We start from the raw sequence: 24,895 nt of genomic DNA on the forward strand, positions 1-24,895 counted from the left end.
GCAGTAGTGAGACTCAAATGAGGTCTTTCAAGCCTTTGAAACAGTTTCTGGCATTCTGTAAATGTTAGCTGCTGCTGCTACCTACCCTTCTAATTACTGGTGTAACTGCCTGATACTGTCCCCGGTATTACTCTTTGACATAATTATAAAACATCAAGTAAACACAGGTTACTGGTGAATTAAGAAAAAGGATCAACTTTTTTTTCCTAGGCCTCTTGTAGGCAGTCTCTCCTGGGGTCTTCTGTTTCATGAGTCAGAGGCTTATCTCTCTGTGATTACAGGCTCACTGGGGGCAGGCACCTATTTTATTTTACCTAGATAAATAAATAAATCCAATCCCTTCCCATGTAAAATTTTTGTGTATCAGCTGTATTGAATACTTGTGTCTATTAATATGAATCTTATGAATAGTCTTATTGCTGTAAGAATTCCATAAAGACTGGACATTGTTTTTCATGGTATTTTGACTCTTTAAAAAAACACACACGCAAACAGAAACATGGTGGAGTGGCTGAAAATTGGAAGCTTAAATTTCCAAGTTCATGTCTGTGTCACTGTAGACCCTGACTGGAAAGTCATCATTTCCTTGAACCTAGAGGAATGTGCTGAAACAGTAGTAGGTGTTGGTTAAAATTAGAACCAACTATTTCCATAACCAGAATTACAGACACATTAAAAAAAAAAATAAAGTGACAGAAATCTACTAGTTTTTCCTTGTGTATTCAAGAGGTTTTTGACCCAGTTCAGCTAACTACAATTGGATTCTGTCCCTGGACTTGGCACATAACAATGCATGGTAGACTTTCTAGACCTGGCGATGGAAACTCGGAACTCTTCCCAGGTATGAGCCCTTAAAAAAATGTCATCAGGATCTGAACAGCAAATGACAGTGACTTCTCATGTTGTCTCCTTTGTGCCCTCCTTCCCTGATGCTAAGCCCCAGGAAAAGATTCCATGTTGACATTATTTGTGTTTAATAGCTCATTACTGTGTCCACGCTCTCCAGCTTTCCTTTACTAGCAGTGAGCCTGCCAAGGCGCCAGCACTGCAACTACACATGTTTCTAGACTACTGTATGAATTGCTCATCTCTTGAAGCTATTTATTTGTAGCTAATAGCTAGCATTTGTTACCTCTTGAGAACCAGAGAAATGCACACACAGTTTCCATGGAGAGGGGGAAAAAAACCCAAACAACCTATGATCCAGGATCCTGTTTTTGTCTAAGGAATGCAGTTTGCTTGAGCAAGACTCTTAAGATGTATTTGTATAGGGTGCAGATGTTAGTCATTAGTGCTTAATGTATGCTGAGATGGGACCAGCTAATGGACCCTCTACACTGGTCAGTGGTGTTGAATCAAGCTATTGCTGGAAGGTCCTGAGGAAGTAGTTTCCAACGGTAATGGCCCTGATCCCTTTGCATATCGTTTCTTTTGGCCTTTCCTCCCTCCCATGCTGAATTATAACAGAGTCACTGGTGTGCAATTCCAGAATGTCTCAGTTTTTTCATCAGATACCTAACATTTACAAAATTACTTTAAATATTTGCCTCAGTCCAAGGTCTTGGGACTCAGCACCTTTTTTCTTGCTTACATAATTTAAAAAGTCTATGGTGCCATTTTCTCAATGAACAGGACTAGTTTAAAAGAGAGATATTGGGCCAAGTGCAATAGCTTTGCCTGTAATTCCAGCACTTTGGGAGGCTGAGGTAGGAGGATCACTTGAGGCCATGAGTTTGAGAGCAGCCTGGCCAATACAGCAAGACTGTGTCTCTTGAAAAAAAAAAAATAGCTGGAAGTGGTGGTGCCTACCCAAAGTTCTAGCTACACAGGAGGCTGAGGCAGAAGTATTCAGTTGAGCCCAGGAGTTTGAGACCATCCTGGGCAGCATGAGACCTCATCTCTATAAAAAACTTAAAAAATTAGCCGAGCATGGTGGGTAGTCCCAGCTACTCAGGAGGCTGAGATGGGAGGATCACTTGAACCCAGGAGTTTGAGATTACAGTGAGCCATGATGGTGCCCCTGCACTCCAGCCTGGGTGACAGAGTGAGACCCTGTCTCTAAAACATAAAATGAAAAGAGAGCTATCAATGGCTTTAGGATTTGGGCTGTAAACAGTGATACAGAAGAGATGAACTTTGCGAAAGAATAAAAGATGCTCTTAGGGATTGGGGAGTGTCTGGTGCATTAATGGTTCCTGTCTTGGGAAAAAGCTGTGTGTAGCAATGTTCTTGGGTGTTCACAGTAGCTCTTGTATATGAGACGTGGTCATTTTCAAGGTTGTTCACCAGTGGTAGAAGAATAGATGGCATTTGATGCTTGTTATTTTATACTTTTAACTTTTAAAATTATTCTGTAATTTAAAAATATTCTGGGGCTGGGCATGGTGGCTCCCAGCACTTTGGGAGTCCAAGGTGGGAGGATTGCATGAGCTTAGAAGTTTGAGATCATTCTGGGCAACACAGTGAGACCTGATGTCTACAAAATAATGTTAAAAATTAGCCATGCATGGCCGGGCACGGTGGCTCACGCCTGTAATCCCAGCACTTTGGGAGGCCAAGGCGGGCAGATCACGAGGTCAAGAGATCAAGACCATCCTGGCCAACATGATGAAACCCCGTCTCTACTAAAAATACAAAAATTAGCCAGGCATGGTGGTGTGCACCTGTAGTCCCAGCTACTTGGAAGGCTGAGGCAGGAGAATCGCTTGAACCTGGTGGTGCACACCTGTGGTCCCAGCTACTCGGGAGGCTGAAGTGGGAGGATCGCTTGAGCCCAGGAGGTTGAGCCGTGATTGTGCCACTGCACTCCAGCCTGGGGGACAGAGTAAGACTCTCTGCCTGTCATAGATAGATAGATAGATATAGTTTTCAACCTCTAACTGGTTTTGTGTGTGTGTGTGTTGACAATTTATCTGATGGTTCTTTGAAAACTGAAAATGTGTCCTTCATTCCAACATTATACATTTAAAAAATCGAATGTTTTAACATAAATATGGGAGGAGTACTCCATGAAGGTGAAAGCCAGTGATTCTCCTTGAAGAAGGGTATTGTTCTGTGCTAGCGGCATCTCCATTTCGCCTAGCAATTGTAGCAGAATAGAGACTGCATCCCCTCTCATTCTACAGGTAAAGAATAGTTTGAAGAGAAAGCTTAGTGATTTCACTGCCAAAAGAAAGCTTTTAACAAAATTGCTTATTAAACCACACCTCAGGCTGTGCAGGGACATGGGAGGAGCGTGCAATTTCTGAAAAAGAATATTTAGAGGAGGATTTTATTGTATAATTGGCAAACTTCTCATCTCCGAGAATAATTGCTTGATTTCATGGAAAGGACCAGAACTTGGGTATCTTGAGGCCTAAGATAAATAGATAGCAACGGATCATGCTAGTCCCCATGGTTACTGGGAACTGAGCTCAAGTGGATTGTTATCCTGAACAAGTCTGTGTCAGGATATTCTTGTCACCTTTCAGCTCTTTGGTATTTGCTCTCTTTCTTGAATCAGCAAAAGAAATCGCTGTAAAGTTAATGTAATTTACGGGAAGTTCCCGTGCCACACTGCATGCTTTTGTGTGTCACAAGACTTAAGCTTCCTGCTACCCTCTGTTAAAGGAGAACTTTTTATGTTCCTAACAATATACGATTCTTTCAGGAGCTATTTACATAGCTGGGTTGGTTAATAGACAACTGGGGACTGGGCTATAAGCATTTTGACCTGGAAATATTTCTTTGGGGTTATGTGAACTACTGTACAATAAAACCTCAATTAACTAGGATTACTTGGAGAAAAGACAGTTTCTGGTTGAATTTTCTTTTAAATGGAAGGTTAAACACTTTCCTTTTCTCAACCCTTCTTATTCACTTTCTTCCTTTGGCTTTTGGAATTCAGATGTTAAGATCTTGAAAATAAGTTAATGTTTCATTGAGTTAGTCCGTAACAGTGCTTTGGAACATCCTTGAGTTATGAAGCTTGTTATTCAGGCTTTACTTTCTTCAGAGGATTAAGAGGCTTGAACGTGGCTGCTAAGTTCTCTAAGTTGTTTTCTGGGGGGAAGAATAAATTTTTCTGTGTAATTTTGTTTTCTTGTATCTTTATCAGATTCAGAATAAAAAAGCTATCGTAACATGCCCTGCATCAGTAGGCCTTGTTAGTTACGTAATCCTACTATTTGAGGGTTTAGGAATATTCTAGCAAAATATAACAGAAATGAGCCGTTAGTAAATTGCTTAACTTAAAATATTTAGTTTTCTTCTGTGTGTGTTAAAGTCAAGTTATATTAATTTAATAGGCAGTTGGGTTGGCTCTTTTGCATAATCCAGACAATATATGGATCCCACAAATATTTATTGAGTATATACTCTGTGTTCTTCATATACCATGTTAGGCAGTTTTGTAATATCAGTAATGAGACCAGCATAAGTGTATTAACCTCTGATAACCTTCACATAAATCTTATATTCTACAGCAATGAAAACTTGTCCCTAAGGGACTTTGTGGTCACAGCAGTTCTGATTTCCTTGTTTGAAATTTTTGTAAACTTTCCAACTTCTTTGTTTTGCACTCAGTACTTAAAAATAAATTTAATGCCAGAAGTAAAAGTACTATTATTTTCATCAATCATAAGTTATAGATAACAAAAACTCAGAAATTTTTCTTGAACATAGGTAGGGAACTTAGGTGAAAGGACTGCTTTAATTCCATCTAAAAGATAAAACCTAATACTGACTTACAAATATGTTGCTAAGAGTTTAGTGTCTCCAAGTAAAGGTAGAAATTTTACATTATCTATCAATGATATCGGCGAAAACTAAAATTATTAGGAAGTAAGCTAAGAATAATTTATAGTCTAGATTTTTAACTTAAAAGTGGAACCAATTTCCAATGGTTTCTTCCCTTAGTTCTTGAGTTAGCCATACTGTGACCATTAAAAAACATCTTTAAAATGTATGTGAAAAAACCTGAAGAAAATGTGGCAAAGGGTAAGATTTGATAAGAAATGGGTCTAGGTTTATAGGGAATGCATTATAGTCTTTATAGTTATGTGTGTTTGAAATATAATAAAACACTTTTAGATGAATTCTTTCTTTTTTTTTTTTTTCCTTTTTGAGACACAGTCTCACTCTGTTGCCCAGGCTGGAGTGCAGTGGTGTGATCTTGGCTCACTGCAACCTCCATCTCCTGGGTTCAAGTGATGCATGTGCCTCAGCCTCTGGAGTAGCTGGGATTACAGGCGCACACCACCACACCAGCTAATTTTTGTATTTTTAGTAGGAGACGGGGTTTCACCATGGCTGGTGTTGAACTCCTGACCTCAAGTGATACGCCCACCTCGGCCTCTCAAAGTGCTGGGATTACAGGTGTGAGCCACAACGCCTGGCTAGATGAATTATTTCCTTTAGAAATTATTTTCTGTGTATCTGCAAAAGTGTTTCATTTTAGTACTGTGAAATGAATAGGCCCTATGCTGGGTCCTGTTGGGGTTTGTGATTTATAGATGGTAAAATACATTTCACACTTACAAGATGAAGCAATCTACCTCTATATAAAGAGCTTGCCTGTGGGTGGTTGTAGCAAGTGTCTTCTTATTATTTCACAATTGAGGGCAAGAGAGAGGTCAGACCATTGGTGAAACCCTTAGTGCAAGCAAGTCCGCAAATAAGCTTTTTAGCTACTTAAGCCTAGGTGTTTTATTGGCATTGAAGGCCAAGACACACGAGCAATACTTGCACAATCAAAAGTTCTATTTTTCCAAGACATGCTGGTCACACAAGAAAAACTGAGATAACATATAATTTATTTTTCCAAGACATGCTGATCACAAAAGAAAAACTGAGATAACGTATAATTTAGTTACTGTGTATCCACTTTGGATCCAGATTGCATATCTATATCTGTCTGTAAACAGACATATGCACACATATATATACCTGTGTGTATGTATATATGCACACACACACATATATATTTAAAATCACAGTACTTAATTAATTTGCCTCCAAAACTAATGGCCACATTAATGCCTTTGAGCTAAGTTAGACTGGCTGGAATCAGTTGGCAAGATCCTGGTAAATGGTTTTGGTGTCAACTAGGACACAAGCCAGGTGTGGTGGCTCATGCCTATAATCCTTGCACTTTGGGAGGCTGAGGCGGGAGGATCACTTGAGGCTAGGAGTTTGAGACCAGTCTGTGCAACATAGACTCCATCTACAAAAAATAAAAAATTAGCCAGGTGTGGTAGCATGTGCCTACAGTCCTAGCTATTTGGGAGGCTGAGGCAGGAGGATACCTTGAGCCCAGGAGGTTGAGGCTGCAGTGAGCCACGATGGTACCACTGCACTCCAGCCTGAGCAACAGCGAGACCCTGTCCAGCAGGGTAGAGTGCAAAGGATGCCTGTGGAATGGGAGAATCTGTTCAGCATCCATCCTCCTGCTTCCAGGCTAAACCCATGAGAAGAGTGCTGTCAACAAAAGAAGTGTTCCCTACAGTGGGGAAGAATTGAGGTTAGCAGAAAGGGTAAAACAAGAACAAAGTAATTCCTAGCCATCCGAAGAGGTGGAATGGGAAAGGCAACACCTATAACAGGAAGGAAATACTCCATCTGGGGCTGAGCCTGTCTTATTCTGAGGCCCAAGCTTGGCTGCCTTTCTCTTCATTCCCTCTGTGTGCCACTTAACAGTATGCATTTCAACTTTCTTTTCAGGGAGGGGCCAGATGTAGAAATGCCTCACACTACAGTGGAGGAGACCTCACCAGCTACCTGTACCAGTAAGATGGGATTAGCTCAGGAAACGTTGTTGTTTGTTTGAGGGACAAGAATAACATGAAAGAAGGAGCAAGATTAACAGAACAGCTGACCTAGAGCTGCTAGGCACTGGATGGTCCTCTGTGCTTATATACACAATGTAATACTTGTAAGGAAAAAGCAAAAGGCTTGGAGGAGGCTGTGGACTACCTATAGTTGACAGTATTTTCCTTTGTGGGGGTGGTGGATGTGGGACGTAGAATGTAAACTTCCTACCTTATACATTGATGTTACTTCATTGATTATAGTGAACACTTTATAGACTGAAACAAGTCTAAGAAAAATTCATCTTGAGCTGAGGAGATAGAGATGACCTGCCAAAGATTTCACATCCACAAAGTTTGTATGACTGATAGTTTTAATAAAAAAAATTTGTCAGCCAAAACATACTGAGAGTTTCTTAGTCGTATTAACTGATCTGAAACTGTTGCCACTAGGGGATATAAAAGATACTACCTGTATTTTAGTGATAAACCACAAAGAATAAAATGAGTTTTTAATTAGCATCATGCAGCCACTTAAGTATTAGCAAAGAAAATTTGTAGCTGATCTTTCAGTTCTCTGTAATATAGAAAAACAGATGCTGCATCTCTAGTTTTGCCTGTGCCTGGGGGATATTTAAAACTTGTACTAAAATGTTAATTTCGCCATGGTAGAGGTGACGGGGAAACTTGCAAAAAAAGGGGAAAGAGGAGGGAATTGGGTGCATAGAAGTGAGCATGAGGCCAGCAGTAGGGAATGAGTTTACAATAAATAAGGTGTGAGAGTGGTTGGGGGGAGTGGGAGAGGTTTGGGGGCTGGGAAGACAAGGGAAAAGAAAATGCAGGGATATGCTATTTGTGTTCATTTTGTCTTTGAAAATCGTAAGTGTACAGCATCATTCTCGGGCAGAGTCTGGGAGGACTTGAGTTGACTGCTACAGTTTATGATCTTCCCTAAACATCGACGTTCCTGGAAATCTTTGGCCTCTGAGCTGACTTCTTCTCTGTTGCTTGTGAGCCAGGAATTTAACAGCTCTGTTGTATGTGCAGGCTGCAGATGCTTCTCTTCAGCTTTTGCTATCCAATGTGTGTGTGTGTGTGTGTGTGTGTGTGTGTGTGTGTGTGTGTGTGTTGGATAAACTTAAAAAACCTGTTGCTTCCATGCAACGGCCCACACAACTTGGGACTCATGGTCAGCCTCACCTTCCACATTGGCTAAAACTCTACAGGAAACAGTTTATGGAGTTTAAGGAAAAAAAAAAAAAAGGAAAATTATCAGACTCCAAGCAAGTTATTTATGGACCAGTGTGTGAACAGAACATCTGATTGAAAAAAGAAAAAATTACAGATGGGTGGGGATGGAAAGGCAAATGTGTTGTGTAGCTGGCCAAGTAATATCTGGTTGTGTCAAAAAACGGGAAAAAACATCATCTTCAATGAGTTACGTTATTTGTATTCCTTCCATCTTGCCTGCCATGTGCCTTGGATAATGCTGCTGTCTATTAAGCCCTCTGTGTCCTACTCCCTCGCCAGCTTTGCTCCATTGTGCTGTTGGTGGGGACACAGCCCAGGTGGTTGGGTGATGCCTGTGCTTTCCTCCTGCCCTCTTTTGGTGTTGCTATTTGAAAATCACTTGTATAATGAATGTATCCTCTCCCCACTCCCATTGTTATGTGAAAAAAGCCAGTAAAAATGAACATCTGGCAAAGAAACTGTCCCAATTTAAGGAGGAAGTTTGCTAGATTTATGATCTTCCTTTGTAACTCAAGTATAAACTGGCCACTATCTGAGGAGTGAGGTCTTGCTACACAGTTTTCAGGGTCAGGGGGCCAGGCAGGGGTCGGGTAGGGTGAGTGGAAGCTCTGGGGTTGCCGCCTAGGCTGGAAAAACACTGTGCATCAGCTGAATGGCTGCCGGCCTGCCAGGATGCTGCTATTTTCTATCCTGATTCAGTTTTGTGAAAGGACAGTGGGTGTGAATTGTTGGCTGGGTCTCTGGATCACTAACCAGAAATAAGCTTAGCTAAATTGACCACAAGAAATTTCACTGTTTTAAATCCCACCAGCCAACTCCCCAAATTTTGCCTTTTTTGTCTCTTTCCTTGAAATTAGTTTAACATTGCATAGTGTATTTTATCTTCATAATGACTACTTAAAGATGGTTTTAAAACTGAACTATAGATCAGCCAGGGTGTGATGGCTCATGCCTTTAATCCCAGCATTTTGGGAGGCTGAGGCGAGAGGATCACTTAAGGTCAGGAGTTTGAGGCCAGCCTGGCCAACATGGTGAAACCTCATCTCTACTAAAAATACAAAAATTAGCCTGGCGTGGTGGCGTGCACCTGGAATCCCAGCTACTCGGGGGGTTGAGGCAGGAGAATCGCCTGAACTCGGGAGGCGGAGGTTGCAGTAAGCTGAGATTGTGCTACTGCACTCCAGCCTGGGCGACAGAGTGAGACTTCATCTCAACAACAACAACAACAACAAACTATATATTGTAAAATAGAGTTATACTGAGCTAAAGTATACATTTTAATCATTTATGTACTATGAAAAATAGTAAATTGCTTTTGTAAAAATAAAAAGTACTGGCATGAACACAGCATTGTTCCAGTGGAAGGAGTTTGTGGGTTTCAGAAGTTTATTACCCTCTGATTTAGATATGGTCCTGTCTGTTGAACTCACGGTCATGGTATAATGACATCTCTTCATTCCGTCCCCCACCCTCTGCCCCCAGAACAATTACCTTGCTTTATGTAATTTCTTGTTAGATCAGTCTCTATCTCCAAAAGCAACTGGAATAGATTAAATCAAGGCTCATACACAGCCTATAAAAACAGGAACTTCATTTCGGGGAAGATTTTTGTAAGATCGTTTTCTAAAATAGCATAGTATCAGAAATATTTCTGTAATGCTTTTCGGCAAGGAAATTAGTTCAATATTTTTGGCTTTGTCAACTCAGTTCTCAATAATAGCTGTACTCTGTTGTCATTACAGTTTTGGCTTTTCTCAACTGGAGAATGATTTTATATTAAGTGCTTTGTAATTATTTTTTTCTTGCATTTTTATCTAAGGCTTTGTAAGGGGGGTGTTCAAGTACAGCGTGGAACCAGATTCTTCTTTTCCTTATCTTTCATAATTTTCCATGTTTGTTTTGAATTAATTAGTTTTGATTCAAACAAAAAAACTAGCATTTTAAAAGATCTGGTGTTTCAGTATTTTGTTTTGTTTAATCACCCCTTGTTTCTTTTGACACTAAATTTTTCTCAGGAACTAAGCAGATCGGTTATCGTTCCTCTACTTTGCTTTATTGAACTCCCTAAGTGAAATTTGTTTTAACAAAGAGGCAGTGTTTATGTGTTGGTGATAAAAAGAAAATAGCCGATATATTATTACTTTTTTTTTCTTCTATGTCACCTTGTTATGTAAGGTTATTTCATTACCTTTGTAGTGTTTTTCATGGAAACCGTCAACAAGGAAGTACCTAACACTGCCCAACATGAAGCCAACCATAATTGTGGATAGAAATAGTAGACTCCTACTTCCTAGCCTTAAAGAATGTATAATTTAGTTAGCAAGTGAAATCCCAAGGGGTACATCATAAAGCAATGAATGATTCAAATTGGCACTGTAAGAATAAGTTCTAGGTGGTATGGGGCAGCCTATAAGAGCTATTGGAATTTAAAGAAGCAAGAGATTCTTATGCAATTATGGAAAATGTTCTCGAGGTAGAGGAATTTGAGAGTTCAAATTGTTTTCTCATCAAACTTCTCCTCATTTTAGATTCAGCATTTGATAGGTAGGCTTCCAGTGTAATTTCTTTTTTCCTGTTAACAAAATGAACCTCAGAATTCTGAAAAGGAAAGATACTGATTCATTCAAATCTCAAATGTCCTAACTTTATAGAAGAATGTGGTACTATGGAAGGGCACAAATCAAGGTGCTGTTAATATGAGCGGTGTTGTAGTTTGGATATTTAACCCTCTAAACCTCATGTTGAAATGTGATCCCCAATGTTGGGAGGTGGAGCCTAGTGGGAGGTGATTTGGGTGATGGGGGTGGATCCTTCATGAATGGCTTGGTGTCCTAATGAGTCTTCCTGGTGTTATCACTGGTGGTAATGAGTGAGTTCTAGCCCTATTAGTTCATGCAAAATATGTTTGTTAAAAGAGCCTGGCACCTCTGTTGCCACGTGATCTCTGCACACAGCAGTTCCTCTTCCCCTTCTGCCATAAGTGGAAGCAGCCTGAGGCTCTCACCAGGAGCAGATGCTGGCACAATGCTTTGTGTACAGCCCAGAGAACCATGAGCCAAATAAACCTTTTCTTTAGAAATTACGCAGCCTTGGGTATCCCTTTATAGCAACACAAATGGACTAAGACAAATAGTCACCTTTAATTTGGGTTTGTAGGATAGCCAGTGTTTAGGACCCTGTAATTTTGCTTTTAAAACCATGAAAGCTCATTTCAGATATTAACAAAGCATTTGGCTTACATATCTTATTTGCTTGGTGTGTACACAGGCTGGATTAAAAACAAAAGCAAATACAGTTTGGAAGAAAATAAAGCCAGCAGCATCCCCTGGTGAATCCCTTTAACCATCCACCCCAGGAATGTCTGCAGTGCTGGTTAGGGCAGAGTGGGGCAGTTCCTCTGGAAGACGGTATGATAAACGAGGGTCACCCAACTGTGAGGCCAGAGGAAGGGAGACTATCTTCAGGAAGCTGTGAGCTTTTCCTTTTGTATGGAGAGTGTTTTGTTGGACTAAAGTTGTAGAAGGCATTTGACCTCTGTTATTGTATTTAGTGTTTCAACCTCAGCATCTGACCCAAAATAACACATATCTTTTCAGTAACTTGGGACAGAGCTGACAAAAGGCAGTCAAATTCAGAAGGAGTCTCATTGTAAAAGAAGGATTATAAACTACACAAAGAGCAAAATTAGTAGGGAAACTACCACCACAATAATAATGCTGCAGTGTTTTCAGAGCTGATATGTGATTGTGTTTTTCCTGTCTTGATTGTTTTTAAGTTTGGTCTGAAAAATACGGGTATCAAATTAAAATTTCATAAACTGCTACGAGTTTCTCTCCTTCCAGAGAGAAAGGATATTCATTTGATTTGAGAATTGTCGTTTTGGTTTAATTAACAGTTGTTTGAAGGATGTTAAAAATCATCGTGGTGAATTGGTTTTTATCCTAACAATTGCATGATAATTTTAGATTACTCTTGAAATATGCCTCAAAATAAAAAGTTAGATGTAGTGGTCCTTTCTCATGTGCCTTGACTATTGTCAGAGAAAGCCCTGGGTTATCAGCCTGTTTAGAAGAAGTGACCTGGTACGCTTTTTGACTCTTGGCTCTGAAATCTTATCATCAGGAGGACCATGTGGATTTTATTCATTTGACAGATACTTACTGTGCACCTATTATGTGCCAGGCCCTGTTATGCAGAGGACAAGTAGAGTAGAAAATAGAACTACTAACACTTGCAACACACACAGTCAACTCTTTTGTTATAGCTCAGTTTAATTAACAGAAGGAAAAACTTTGCGTTGGGGAATACACATAACACCTGGAAACGCAGCGTTGGAACACCCGATTTGTCTATGATGCTTGCTTACTACTCCTATTATTCTATATATTACAAAGCCTGAATATGTAAATGGCAGTTCAATGGTCTTTTAGGAAAAAAATTTACTGGAAATATACTAACAGGAATAACACTAAGGAATTCAGGAGCTACAAGAATTCTTGGAGTTCTGTTATTTCAGGTACTTTCTTTGAAGTATTAAGTACATATTATCAGTAAGTTTTGTTGTGTTCCTATTCTACGTAGATCATATTATCAGATAGAATGTAAAGATAGATTAAGATGTTCATGCTGGGCCAAGTGTGGTGACTCATGCCTGTAATCCCAGCACTTTGGGAGGTTGAGATGGGCGGATCACTTGAGGTCAGGAGTTCGAAACCAGCCTGGCCAACATGGCAAAACACCGTCTGTAATAAAAATATAAAAATTAGCTGGGTGTGGTGGCACATTACTATAATCCCAGCTACTTGGGAGGCTGAGGCACGAAAATCCGTTGAACCCTGGGAGGCAGAGGTTGCAATGAGCCGAGATCGTGCCATTGCACACCAGCCTAGGTGACAGAGTGAGACTCCGTCTCACCAAAAAAAAAAAAAAGATTTTTTTCATGCCCTAAAAGCTTTTACACCTCCTAGTTGAGAGGACAGGATACACATACACACACACTTCCCTACCTGCCTGCCTGCCTCCAGGAAGCATATACGAAATGCCAATCAACTAGGATGCCTTGTTTAGTGTTAAGAACTAGAGAATGACGTGGATAGCTGTTCTGATTCTACGTTAGTATTTCTTAGCTTCTTTCTTACCCTAGTCATTTCACTATTAGGTTGGCAATAGTAATTCCCCATGTTTACCCCAGCATTAAGCTTGTGTATCTTCTATCAGCCCATACCTTATAGGTGGCAAGATTAATTTTAAAAGAATTTCAGACTTAAAAAAAGTTGCAAACTAGTACAAGGAGTACTAGTTGCTATATAATCTTTCTTACTTTCCCCAAATAATGTCTCACATAATCATAGTGTGATGATCAAAACTAGGAAATTAACAGGGACACAATACTATTAATCATTGTCCTGCTGATGCCCTTTTCTGGGTCCGGGATCTAGGGCCGGTTCCTACATTGCATTTAGTTGTTATGTCTCTCCAGTTTCTTCTAATTTGGAACAGTCAGTCTGTCTTTGTTCTTTATGATTTTGATAATTTTGGGGATTACTGACCAGTTATTTCATAGACTTTGATTCAGGCTGGGCATTTTTGGCAAGAATATCGTGGAAGTGATCTTGTGTACATATTAGTGCATTATCATCACATGCCCATGGTATCTGCATGTCTCGTTACTTTGCTAACTTGATCACTTGGTTAAGGTGGGGCCTGCCAGATGTCTCCACAGTAAAGCTATGATTTTTCTCTTTGTAATTAGTGTCTTGTGGGGAGATACTTTGCAACTCTGCAAATATCTTGTTTCACATCCTACATTTGCTAATTAATTTTAGCGTTTGTTGATTTCCTGGCTGCATCAATTATCACTGTGGTGTTTGCCAAATAGTGATTTTTAAATTTCTGTCATCCCGTCATATGAGTTAGAATTCTGTGAGGGTGAGCTATTCCTTCTCCTCTTATTATTTATTCAGTTATTTATATCTGTATGGATTCATGGATATTTGGTTATGGGTTACAATCTCTTCCTATGATTATTTATTATATTGCTCAAATTGTTCCAGATTTGGCTATTGTGAGGTCCTTAAATTTGGCTTGTAATGTTCTTTTGACATGTTCCAATTTTTGGACCAATTTCTTACTTTTGGTACCATAAGATGTTCCAAGCTTATCTTGGATTTTTTTTTTTCTTTTCCTGCTCCAGCCCTGGAATCAGTCATTTTTCTAAGAAGCTCTAGTTCGCCTTATTAGAGAAAGGTATATAGAAACCAAAATTTGGTGCTAGATGTGCTTATTGTTCCTAAGATGTCAGTACTTCTAGCCGTTCTCAACAGATAGAGCTAGGAAGTATATGTGTATACATATACATATGCACACGTTTGTATCTATATATTAAAAACCTTAGGGTTCATTCTCACTTTCCCCCTTATATGTAACTCTTTTATCTGAATGTGAGAAACCTGGTTGTCATTATCCACAATGTGTTTACTTATTTGTGCAATTCTAAGCTACACACATAGTAGTTTTCAGAATGCTAACACATACCCCACGAGAAATTTGCTAACTAGAATGTAACATTTGTGTGCATTTTTTTTTGTTTTTAGTGTTAGAATAGAGTACTGTTTTCTAAAGTTATTTAGGTTCTTCTCTACCTACTTTGTGCTTTTGTTCATTTGTAATACATTAGGTTCTCTTATTTCATTTTGATTAAAATCATGTTGGTTTTATTTATTTTTAGGTGATGTCAAATATTGTCACAGTTCTAAGACTTATAAATACATGAAAAGTATGCTCAGAAGGTGTCATTTCTTCCTCATTCTTTCTGACTCATTCCTGTCCTCTTTCTGTAGATAATCTCATTACTTCTTGGTTTATCCTTCCTGTATATATATTTTTTACACACATCAGCAGATGCATACTGTATTTTCTTATTTCCTTTTTTTATACTTGAAAGGTGGTATTTTTTGTTGTTGCACAAAAATTGCCACAAACTTAGTGGCTTAAAACAACACAAATGTATTAGCTCATAGTTTCTGTGGGTCAGGAGTTTGGACATGGGTTAGTCGGGTTTTCTGCTTTTCTGCTCAGACTCACCAGGCTGAAATTCAGGTGTTGGCCAGGGTTTCGATATCATCTGAGGCTTGGGAGTCCTTTTCCAAGCTAACTGGTTGTTGGCAGAATTCCATTGCTTGCGGTGGTTGCACTGAAGCCCTTATCTCCAAGAAGCTGCCCACATGACCTCTCCCTGGTTTGTCTCTTAGTAGTGGCTCTGCTGCTTTGGATTTTTCTAATATTTTCTCTAGCCCTAGACTATCTTTAAAGGGTATACTTCTTAAGGTCAGACCCACCCAGGATAATCCCCTTTCACCTTTGCCATATAATGTAACCTAATCATGGGAGTGAAGTCATGTCATACTCATAACCTATCTACAGTTAGGAGGAGATGATAATATATGACATGTGCCCCAGAAAGCAGGAATCTTGGAGGCTATCTTAAAATTCACCTTTTACCATGTAGCATACTATAGGTAGAATTGCAAGATAGCCTCCAAGTGCAAAAATTTGAAAAAGTATTGTTATATTGTCTATGCTTTTTCTCCATGAGATGTAGAGTTTTTGTTCAATTTATTAAAAATACTAATTTTGGCAGTTAGGGTTTGAATTTCTGTTCTAGTGTTATGTTTGTATTTTACCATTTTTTTTAAAAAAATGCCCACAGCCACAGGTTTCTTATTTAACTTTATATTATCTGGGTTGTCAGTTTTTAAGGATATTCTTGAACCCTTACCTATTTCCTGTACACCAATCCATGAACTCAGTCAAATTTCCAGTTTTACTCTTCCTTCTTCTATTTGTTTAAGTCGTATTACTTCTATGTTGTCACAACATATAATATTGTCACATTGTTCTTTCAGCTCTGCATTTCGATCTTCTGGCAGATTTTACTGACGATAATGTTTTTGTGTAACATATATTGTTGCTGTCTTATATCAGGAATCTCTCTACCACCACCCTTTTTCTTTAAAACCTTGAGAATACTGAGATTTGGGAGATCATCAAGGAAAATAAAACTGAAGACAAACAAATGTACTTACCTGAATGTTCAGAGACCTCACCATTCATGTGCATTATTGAAAACATGGCAAATGGTTCCTACTTCAGAAAGAGGCAGAATTAGTCCCCCTTCAACTTAATTAGTGAAGGAATTTGGCATCTTTGTAAACATAAAGGGCCTATGTGGTTCATGTATCTTTCTGTAAGGCAATAACCGTGAAGGGCAAAGGGGCCCTTAGTTAATTATAACTTGAGTAGGATGGGAGGGGTCAATGGCATTTTAACGTAGAAGAACCAAGTGTTAGTAAAGAGCTTTTCTTCTCCGGGAGCTTGGTCAGCTATGTTTTCTGTGAAGCCTGATTGGGGAGTCAAAGTCCCAGTGGAAAAGTGTTGATGAGAAGGCAGATTCTAGAGGATCAATATTTCGAACCTCCTTTTAAGCTCATCCAACTTCACAGCTAAAAAGCTGTTGAGGCTTCAGAAAAAGGAAAGGCACAAAGGAATGAATGAATCAGAATTTGCCTGGATGTGATGTTCCTGATGATGGTCAAAAGTCCTGAGAGTTCCAGCCTTGAGGCCTGGCTTCCCTCTCTCTGCAGGCCTCTTGCTGGTTGCTTTTGGAGGAAGCTGAGTGTTTGGGTTGTTGTGATTGCTGCTGTTGGGGATTTCATATAACATAGCTCTGGAAGGTCTTGTACTCATGACTATTAGTTATTCAAGGCCACCTAAAATCTAAATCAAAGAAATGACTAGACAGAAGTGAAAAAAAGGGCCTGATTCGTGAAACGATTTCCCAACTTTGTGATAGGTCACTCAAGGCTTAGTGTAGGCTTTTTTCAAGGTAGGTGTCTTTTAGGACTGAATCGGTTCCAAGCTATATGAGAAAGCTTGTGTGTGAATAGGTTTCTGCTGGCAGATGGTTGGCAGGCTCAACCATCAGCCTTCCAGACTTGGGATTCTAACAAAATTCTATTCTGTGGCACAAGCCTAGAATAAGTATGATCCATATAAATACATTCATTTATGCACATATTAGCAGTACACTGAGTTCTTGTTTTTGTGATTTTGATGATCTGGTGCTTTTGGTTTTCCTAATACTGGTTCATGGAGAAATAAGTTGTACTGTGTTGGCTAAAACCCGACTCTGGATGCACTAAATAATTCTTCTGAGTTTCTTTCTCTTTTTCCTCTAGCCTGGAGGAAGTCTGTCTGCTTTCTCTTTTGCAGTCTGGAGATAGAGCATTGACCCCTGAAGCAATGCTGGGTTTACTTTATTAGAGCTCACCCGCAGATGTTAATGAAAGCAGAACAGTGAATTAGTGCTGACTTCAGAGCAGAACAACTTGGGTGGGGGAATCTGTGAAGAGAACATGTTGTTATAGGCAACACCCAGGGGAAAATTGACAAATCACAGTAAGAATCATTGGATATTTCTGCCCCACCAAGAGAGCAGGAGGGTGAGAACTAAATCATCCTCTGAAATACACTTAGATTAAGAAATCAGTCTGATGTTCATTTCACAACATTCATCAGAAAGAAAAACAGGACTGATCCCAGGCAAAATTTATTGGTGGGAAAAATGTCGTGTTCTATCTCCTCCTCCTCTCTGCTTAGCCCCCCAGCACCTGATTAATTAAAACTCTGCCATCTACCGGCTCAGAACGTTTTTCTTAGAAGCACCTGAGATTCGTTCAGCTAAAGAATCAACAGCTGTCAACCGCAGCAAATAGATCCCCTACCCTCTACCATATCCCAGTATCCTAACAATGCCTTAAAATGAGCATCAAGCCGGGTGCGATGGCTCACGCCTGTAATCCTAGCACTTGGAGGTCGAGGTCGGTGGATCACCTGAGGTCAGGAGTTCTAGACCAGCCTGGCCAACATGGCGAAACCCTGTTTCTACTAAAAATACAAAAATTAGCTGGGTGTGGTGGCGGGTGCCTGTAATTCTAGCTACTCGGGAGACTGAGGCAGGGGAATCACTTGAACCCCAGCGAGGCAGAGGTTGCAGTGAGCCGAGATCACACCACTTCACTCCAGCCTGGGTAAAACAAACAAAAAAACCAGGCATCAAAACTCGGATGTCTACAGGAGTCAGTTAGGTCTCTTAAATTTGTAAAATCTGCCTGGATTTGACACAAAAGGGAGTGGTGGAACCTTGGCAAGCCTGTGAGTTAAGTCCCTGACCGAGGCAGGCGCCACTCGGCTTTAGCCCATACTGGCAAGGCAGGCCGGTGCTGTGAGGGCTTCCAAATTTTCATGAGAAGATGAAAATTTTGATTCTTCTATGAAATCTTTCACATTTTTCATGACGGTTTTAAAAGTTTTACAGGCAGTAAAAACAATTCTTTGTGCCCTTATGCCCTGAAATCAAACCCTGTGGGCCAGTAATTCCCAAATAGAGTCCTCAACCTAATATGCTTTCCTTAAAGCTAAATGTATTTAAGGATTATCTCTTTATTTTGATATTTTTATCCTTGCTATATTGTTGATGTAAGAATGTAATTGCTTTTCTAAAGTGACTCGGGGATAGGGTTAGCTTTTACCTGCATTCAGTTGAACTTGAAGGATGACCTTCCCAAAAGGGAACTCAGAAAATGTATCTGACTCTTCTAAAAGACATGTAACTTAAAAGCATAATTCTTTATGAGCTGATATTGAGAGCTCCCAATGGGTTGATGGAAATGCTAATGAAGGCTCTATTCAATTGTTAAGTTTATCTTCAATGAGCAGCCAGTACAGAGGCTCCAAACCAAACTAGCCAGCTTGCCCTGATGCTGGAAAGCAAAATCCCCCAGGATGTCCACGGTTTTGGGTGAGAGGGTCTCAGGAATATTTACACAGAAGGGAGCAAAGAGCCTGATTGTGTTCCTGGCTTTAACAAGTAAAGATATTCTGTTTCCATCTGTGTAAATTTGCGTGACTTTTTTTTTTTTAATTTTGAGTAATTAATTGCCAAGACTCCATTTAGAAGGAAGACGATGATGAGAATGAATCTTGTGAAAGTCCATACTGTACTGTTTCTCTAATGGGGTCCTGTGAACCCCCTGCGATTTACATATTGGCAGAAGGTCCAGTGTACACTTTGAATGTGATCCAAACGTTCTAGTTCATTTAAATTTCATAAGTTATAGTTTCCGGAAGGAGAAACTGTAACTGCATGGTAGCAAGTATGGAAAGGAACCTAGTTTTCACTGTTATGCCCTGTCATTTAACAGTAGCTTTGAGTAGTTTTTAAATCAAAAACAAGAAAATGTTGATGCCTTAACTTTTTAACCCCTTGTTCTTCGTGCGAGTCTATAGGGTAAGTTCTTCTTGTGGAAAACACTTGGGTTATTTTGGGCGAGGTGGCGCTAACAGAGTTTTGCTTGAGGATGTGCTTATCTGATTCTCTCTTCCCATTCAAATATAGGATTGATTGTTTTCATCCTTGGAGCACCCACTAGGTACAACCCTGTTGGAAACCTTAATGGTGAAAGCAGCGTCTATTCATTGAATTCTTTTTAATGTGTCAGAAACTGTGCTTTGTGAAACACAGGTTATAACATTTATTTTTCACAATGGTCTATGAGAGAAGAATATAAGAGGGATGGTCTCCAAGATAGGAAAAAATACCGCCTTTGGGCCGGGCGTGGTGGCTCATGCCTGTAATTCCAGCACTTTGGGAGGCCAAGGTGGGTGGATCACCTGAGGTCAGGAGTCTGAGACCAGCCTGGCCAAAATGGTGAAACCATGTCTCTACTAAAAATACAAAAATTAGCCAGGTGTGATGGCAGGCATCTGTAGTGTCAGCTACTCAGGAGGCTGAGGCACGAGAATTGCTTGAACCTGGGAGGCAGAGATTGCAGTGAGTCAAGGTCGTGCCACTGCACTCCAGCCTGGGCAACAGAGCAAGACTCCGACTCAAAAAAACCCAGAAAACCCAAAAACAACAAAATAAGTACCATCTTTATTTCATTGTGCGGAGAGTGGGAGAGGAAGGTACAGAAGTATGGTGGGTTTGCGAGTTTAGTAGCAGGAAAGGGAGCGAGTTCTTGTATAAGGGGGTTTATTTCCTTCATGACATACAAGGGGTGAGGCTATATTGAGAGAAGGGGGTAAGGAGAGGGTATGGAGGTTGGAGGTTGGAAGAGATTGTAAATGGTTGACCAGAAGAAGGTAGATGTTCCCTGGGCAGTGTTGAGGGTAGATGTTTTCCGGGCAAGTGATAGTTGGTGCTCTGTGGTTGACTGATCTTCCTGTTGCATGGCACTCTCTGCAGTCTCAGGTGCTTCTGTATCAGGAGGGACAAAATGGTATTAAAGAGGAATTACTCATGACACTCGTTCAAGATGGTAAGGCAGACTTTATTTAGTACCATCACGATAGGCGTAGGGACCACTGCAGTGGGATTTTTGCAGTGAGGGAGAGAGATTGAGCTCAATTCTGAACAGAGCATGGACAAATAGGAATTTATAGCCAAGGAGTGGAGTGGAGGTCAGTGGATGGAAAATTACTAGGAGGAAACATCAGGGCTATAGGAGTGAAGTAGGGGAAGAAAGGGAGAGAATTCTGGTTAAAGTGATCCTGACCTATTATAGGATTCTTGTTGAAGGCAGGCCAGGGTGATCAGATACCATCTGGGGAATGGGAGAGGATGAGGAACCCAATTAATTAGTGGGGGTGATTAGACATAGAGGGTGGGGAATTCTGGATAAACTGACTTAGAGTTCTTGCCAAAACCAGATTTTATAAGGAAGTGTATACACGGATGTAGGAGAATGTAAAGGAGCCTGACTAAAGTTTGGTCAAGCAAAAAATCTATATCACTGGTCAGTGAGTTTGTCTAGGTTTGGGGGTGTGTTGGGGGCTGTGCTAAAAAGACAGCTAGAGGAGCAAGAAACACTGGTGCAAGATCAAGAACATTATTTACCTGGGCCATGGATTCTAAGTTGGGTAAGGAGGGAACTGCAGAAAAGAGTGAGCTGATGGGAGTTCTTTACTAAGGGTCAGACAAATTTGGGGAAGGTATTGCAGTGGGGAAAAAAATTGTTAGGACAAGAGCCAGGATGTTCTCTCACAACTGCATTTCCACCCTTGCTTCAGGTGGGGGAACTGTTTACACATTCCACAATGAAGAACAATCAAGCTGGGCATTGTAGCACATGCTTGTAACCTCTGCGCTTTGGGAGGCCGAGGCGGGTGGGTCACTTGAGATCAGGAGTTTGAGACCAGCCTGGTCAACATGACAAAATTCCGTTCTCTACTAAAAATACAAAAATTAGCCGGGCGTGGTGGCACGCGCCTGTAGTCCCAGCTACGCGGGAGGTTGGGGCATGAGAATTGCTTGAACATGGGAGGCGGAGGTTGCAGCAAGCCAAGATCGTGCCACTGCACTCCAGCCTGTGCGACAGAGCGAGACTCTGGCTCAACAATAACAAAAAAGAACAATCAGTATGTCCTTTGCTAAGATGACTCCTACCCACATGCAGGGAGGCTTTTTTTTTTTTCTTTTCTTCGAGACGGGGTCTTGCTGTGTCGCCCAGGCCAATCTCGGCTCACTGCAACCTCTGCCTCCTAGGTTCAAGAGATTCTCCTGTCTCAGCCTCCTGAGTAGCTGGGATTACAGGCATGCACCACCACGACCGGCTAATTTTTTTATTTTTCGTAGAGATGGGGTTTCACCATGTTGGTCAGGCTGGTCTCGAATTCCTGACTTCGTGATCCGCCTGCTTCGGCCTCCCAAAGTGCTGGGATTACAGGCATGAGCCACCGCGCTCAGCCGCAGGGAGGCTTCTTAAAAACCTGTTTAGTGTCTCTCCATAGCCGCATCTCATTGTGTGTGTGTGTTTTAATATATTCATGCTCAAAATTTTGAGAAATGAGTAAATGGGTTGTTTACTGAATGTAAGCTTCTATCTCTTATGCACTGAGGCACTTGTTTATCAGTAGACCTAAGAAATTATGTACATACGGATCTCATCTCAGAGGCTTGTAAGAGATGTAGATTCCTGGGCCCAGATCTCAGAATTCCTGAATCATTACTGTCAGGCGGGGGCTTAGGAATGTGCATATCTGTGTATTAATACTCTGAAGACACTCAGAGTTCTAGAAGGTGAATGCTGTCATTCATGTTCATCTTAGGCCTTAAATGTAGAAAATACTGACGTGTAAGGAAAAGCAAAGGTGAAACCAGCAAGTTAATTTTGTCTTGAAATGCCATCACATTTAAAGCACAGTTCTTCAGAAATCAAGTTAGAGGGATATTGCATGATATTTCCCTCTGTTTATCTAAAGTTATTTGTAGTATTTCTGTCCTGTGTATGTTATGAAAAGTCACACACGAGTCTGCTCATTCTTTGAGAGTCTATATTTACTAAGTCAGAAGATTTTTTTTTTTAAACCCTGAAGCATGAGAGATTTTGTGAGAAAGAAAATCTTTGCACCTTCCATTTTTAGAGAAAGGAATAGTAGAGAGTCAAGTGTGAAAACCAGCCACTGGGTTTCTTGGGAAGAAAAAATATAGTGTTAATGAGTAAGAAATGTTGTTTTGTATGAAGAAAGATATTAAAATTTATCTAAGGGCAGGTTGAGTTACAAGGAAAAAAATGGATAGAATTAGAAACAATTCCAACTGTGACTATTTTAAAATGAAATATTAAATTTGTTACAATTGAACAAAGGAGAATTTAGAATTAATGAATTGCTTTTCTTGTAATATTTTCTTTACTCATTTCTTCTTATTTCTTTAAATAAGGAAACCCAAGTCATTACTTGGCTTATTATTACAGGTTATCAACAACTTAGTAAAACGTGCATGAAATCTGTAAGGTACAGAGCCTAATTCGTCAGTAGCTTTGGCAGCTAGATGTGCTGATTCACTGTCTACCCATTGTGACTTCAGAGTCACAGGACTGTGGGTTAGAAGAAGGATACTAAGGGTCATCGGGCTCCAGCCGGCTCCAGCCGTGTCTTCGAGTGTCTGATAATGAGTTATTTAAAAAACTGAAACCCAGAATCACACCTCTCGTTCTTGCTTAGCTAGTAATACAAGCAGACATTCATACCTTGATTTCTTCAACATGTAATTGGCTTGTAAATCAGGGCGGCCATATAATTGATCATCCAGATTGGAGTACTTTTCGAGTGAAAGGGGGCATTGTTAATAATTATGCCAGGACAGCAGGCATTTTAGATTTGTACTCTATCACAAAGCTAAGTTCTAGCAAATGGTTTTGAAACCGTGTTTAGTCTGAAAGATTTCTTTAGAAGTTACATGTGAAAAAAACTTACCTAGATTGAAGTTTATTTGCCAAGGTAACTAGGGTGCTGCGTACTATGTGATAGCCTGGTTACATGGAACCCCTAGGGAAATATCTCGTTTTTATGATAAAAATTTCTTTAGTTGAAAAATTTGTGCATTTATTTCTCAAATCAATGTCCAACTGTTTTAATAATTTCTCATATGCAGCTTAAGATTAAAATTCTTCATAGAGGGCCTTTTATTTTAGAATATGGTCTTTCCTTGGTATCTATGGAGGACTGATTCTGGGACCCCCTCCCCATGGATACCAAAATCAATGAATGCTCAAGTCCCTGATAGAATGTATTTGCCTAAAACCTATGCATATCCTCCCTTATACTTTAAATCATGTCTAGATTACTTATAATACCTGATATAGTATAAATGTTATGTAAATAGTTGTTATACTATATTGTTTAGCGAATAGTGGCAAGAAAGTCTGTACATGTTCAGTACAGATGCATTTTTTTTCAAATATTTTTGATCCATGGTTGGTTGAATCCACAGATGTGGAACCCATGGACACGGAAAATGTACTGTGCTGCGGGAAAGTAGTAATATCAGGTGTGATGGGGGTGGAGGTAGATAGTATCTAGACTAGAGGTTTCCAAACTTTTTCAGTCATAGCATCTTTAGTGTCTCAAAAATTTTCATGGTGCCTCCTAGACCAAAAGAAAAACCTAACCATTCCATTTATTAAGTACTTAGGTCTAAACAACTATTTATGTTCTACTAATTTAGTGGCTGTTTGAGAAAATATTACATATAAATTGTGAGGAAAAAACTCATTTTATTCTTCTAAAAGCATAATTACTTATCAATATGTGTGTAGCTATGGGGCACTGCACAGCTTTCACACGTTGAATTCAGATTGTGCACACACTTCCTTTCCTGTTCAGTTTTCATTTTCTCTTGTTACTTGCTTTTATCACAGCAACTGCTAAAAAAACAGTTTCGCAAAGGTAAGATGTTATGGAAAGGAAATGTTGCGTGACTCAGGGTAGAAACTTGAACCACCTCAGGCTAGTGGCTTGTGCGGTCTCTGATTTTGAGTCTTGTTGCTTCCTTTGGAAATAATCCCATAGCTTCCATTCATTTCACTGTAGTGCTTGGGGGTGCCTTGGCACTCAATTTGAGAACCACAGATCTAGACATTTCTATTTAGTTCATTATTTGGCTGTTAGCTAAACATCCATTGTGTTTATGGCACCAGAAATTTTTATGTCTGTGTGTGAGAAGCTCTCAAAGCCATTATGTTAAAGAAACTAAGATGCTCCAGCACTTTACCCCTCCCTTCTTTGAATTAGGTTGTATCATATTCTGGTACTGAATAGCTAAAGTTTATTGAACACTTATGTCAGGCACTGAGCTTGATGAAACACTTTGCATGTGTTCTCTCATTTTCTTTTTGATTTTCATAACAATCCTGCTATATAAAGCTTCTTCTATCAGGCTCCTCCTGAAATCCGCTTGGAGTAGATACTGTCCTTATTTTACAGATGAGGAGACTAAAGTTCAAGTAATTTAAGTGATT

The 24,895-nt window shown here is 40.0% G+C and overlaps 1 protein-coding gene across 13 annotated transcripts in view, besides 1 other annotated feature; it reads left to right on the plus strand.

Annotated features, from left to right (window-relative positions):
• Nucleotides 1–24,895, plus strand: part of FMNL2 (formin like 2) — a 314,653-nt gene that overhangs the window by 147,529 nt on the left and 142,229 nt on the right. The window lies entirely within an intron of this gene.
• Nucleotides 18,490–19,065: an enhancer, noted in NCBI's record as "OCT4-NANOG hESC enhancer chr2:153357706-153358281 (GRCh37/hg19 assembly coordinates)". NCBI's record gives its function as "activates a minimal SCP1, AML or CMV promoter by ChIP-STARR-seq in primed H9 embryonic stem cells {active_cell/tissue: H9 hESC(primed)}" and the evidence as "EXISTENCE:reporter gene assay evidence [ECO:0000049][PMID:30033119]".

This window comes from Homo sapiens, chromosome 2 (assembly GCF_000001405.40).
Source record: "Homo sapiens chromosome 2, GRCh38.p14 Primary Assembly".
NCBI classification, from domain to species: Eukaryota; Metazoa; Chordata; class Mammalia; order Primates; family Hominidae; genus Homo; species Homo sapiens.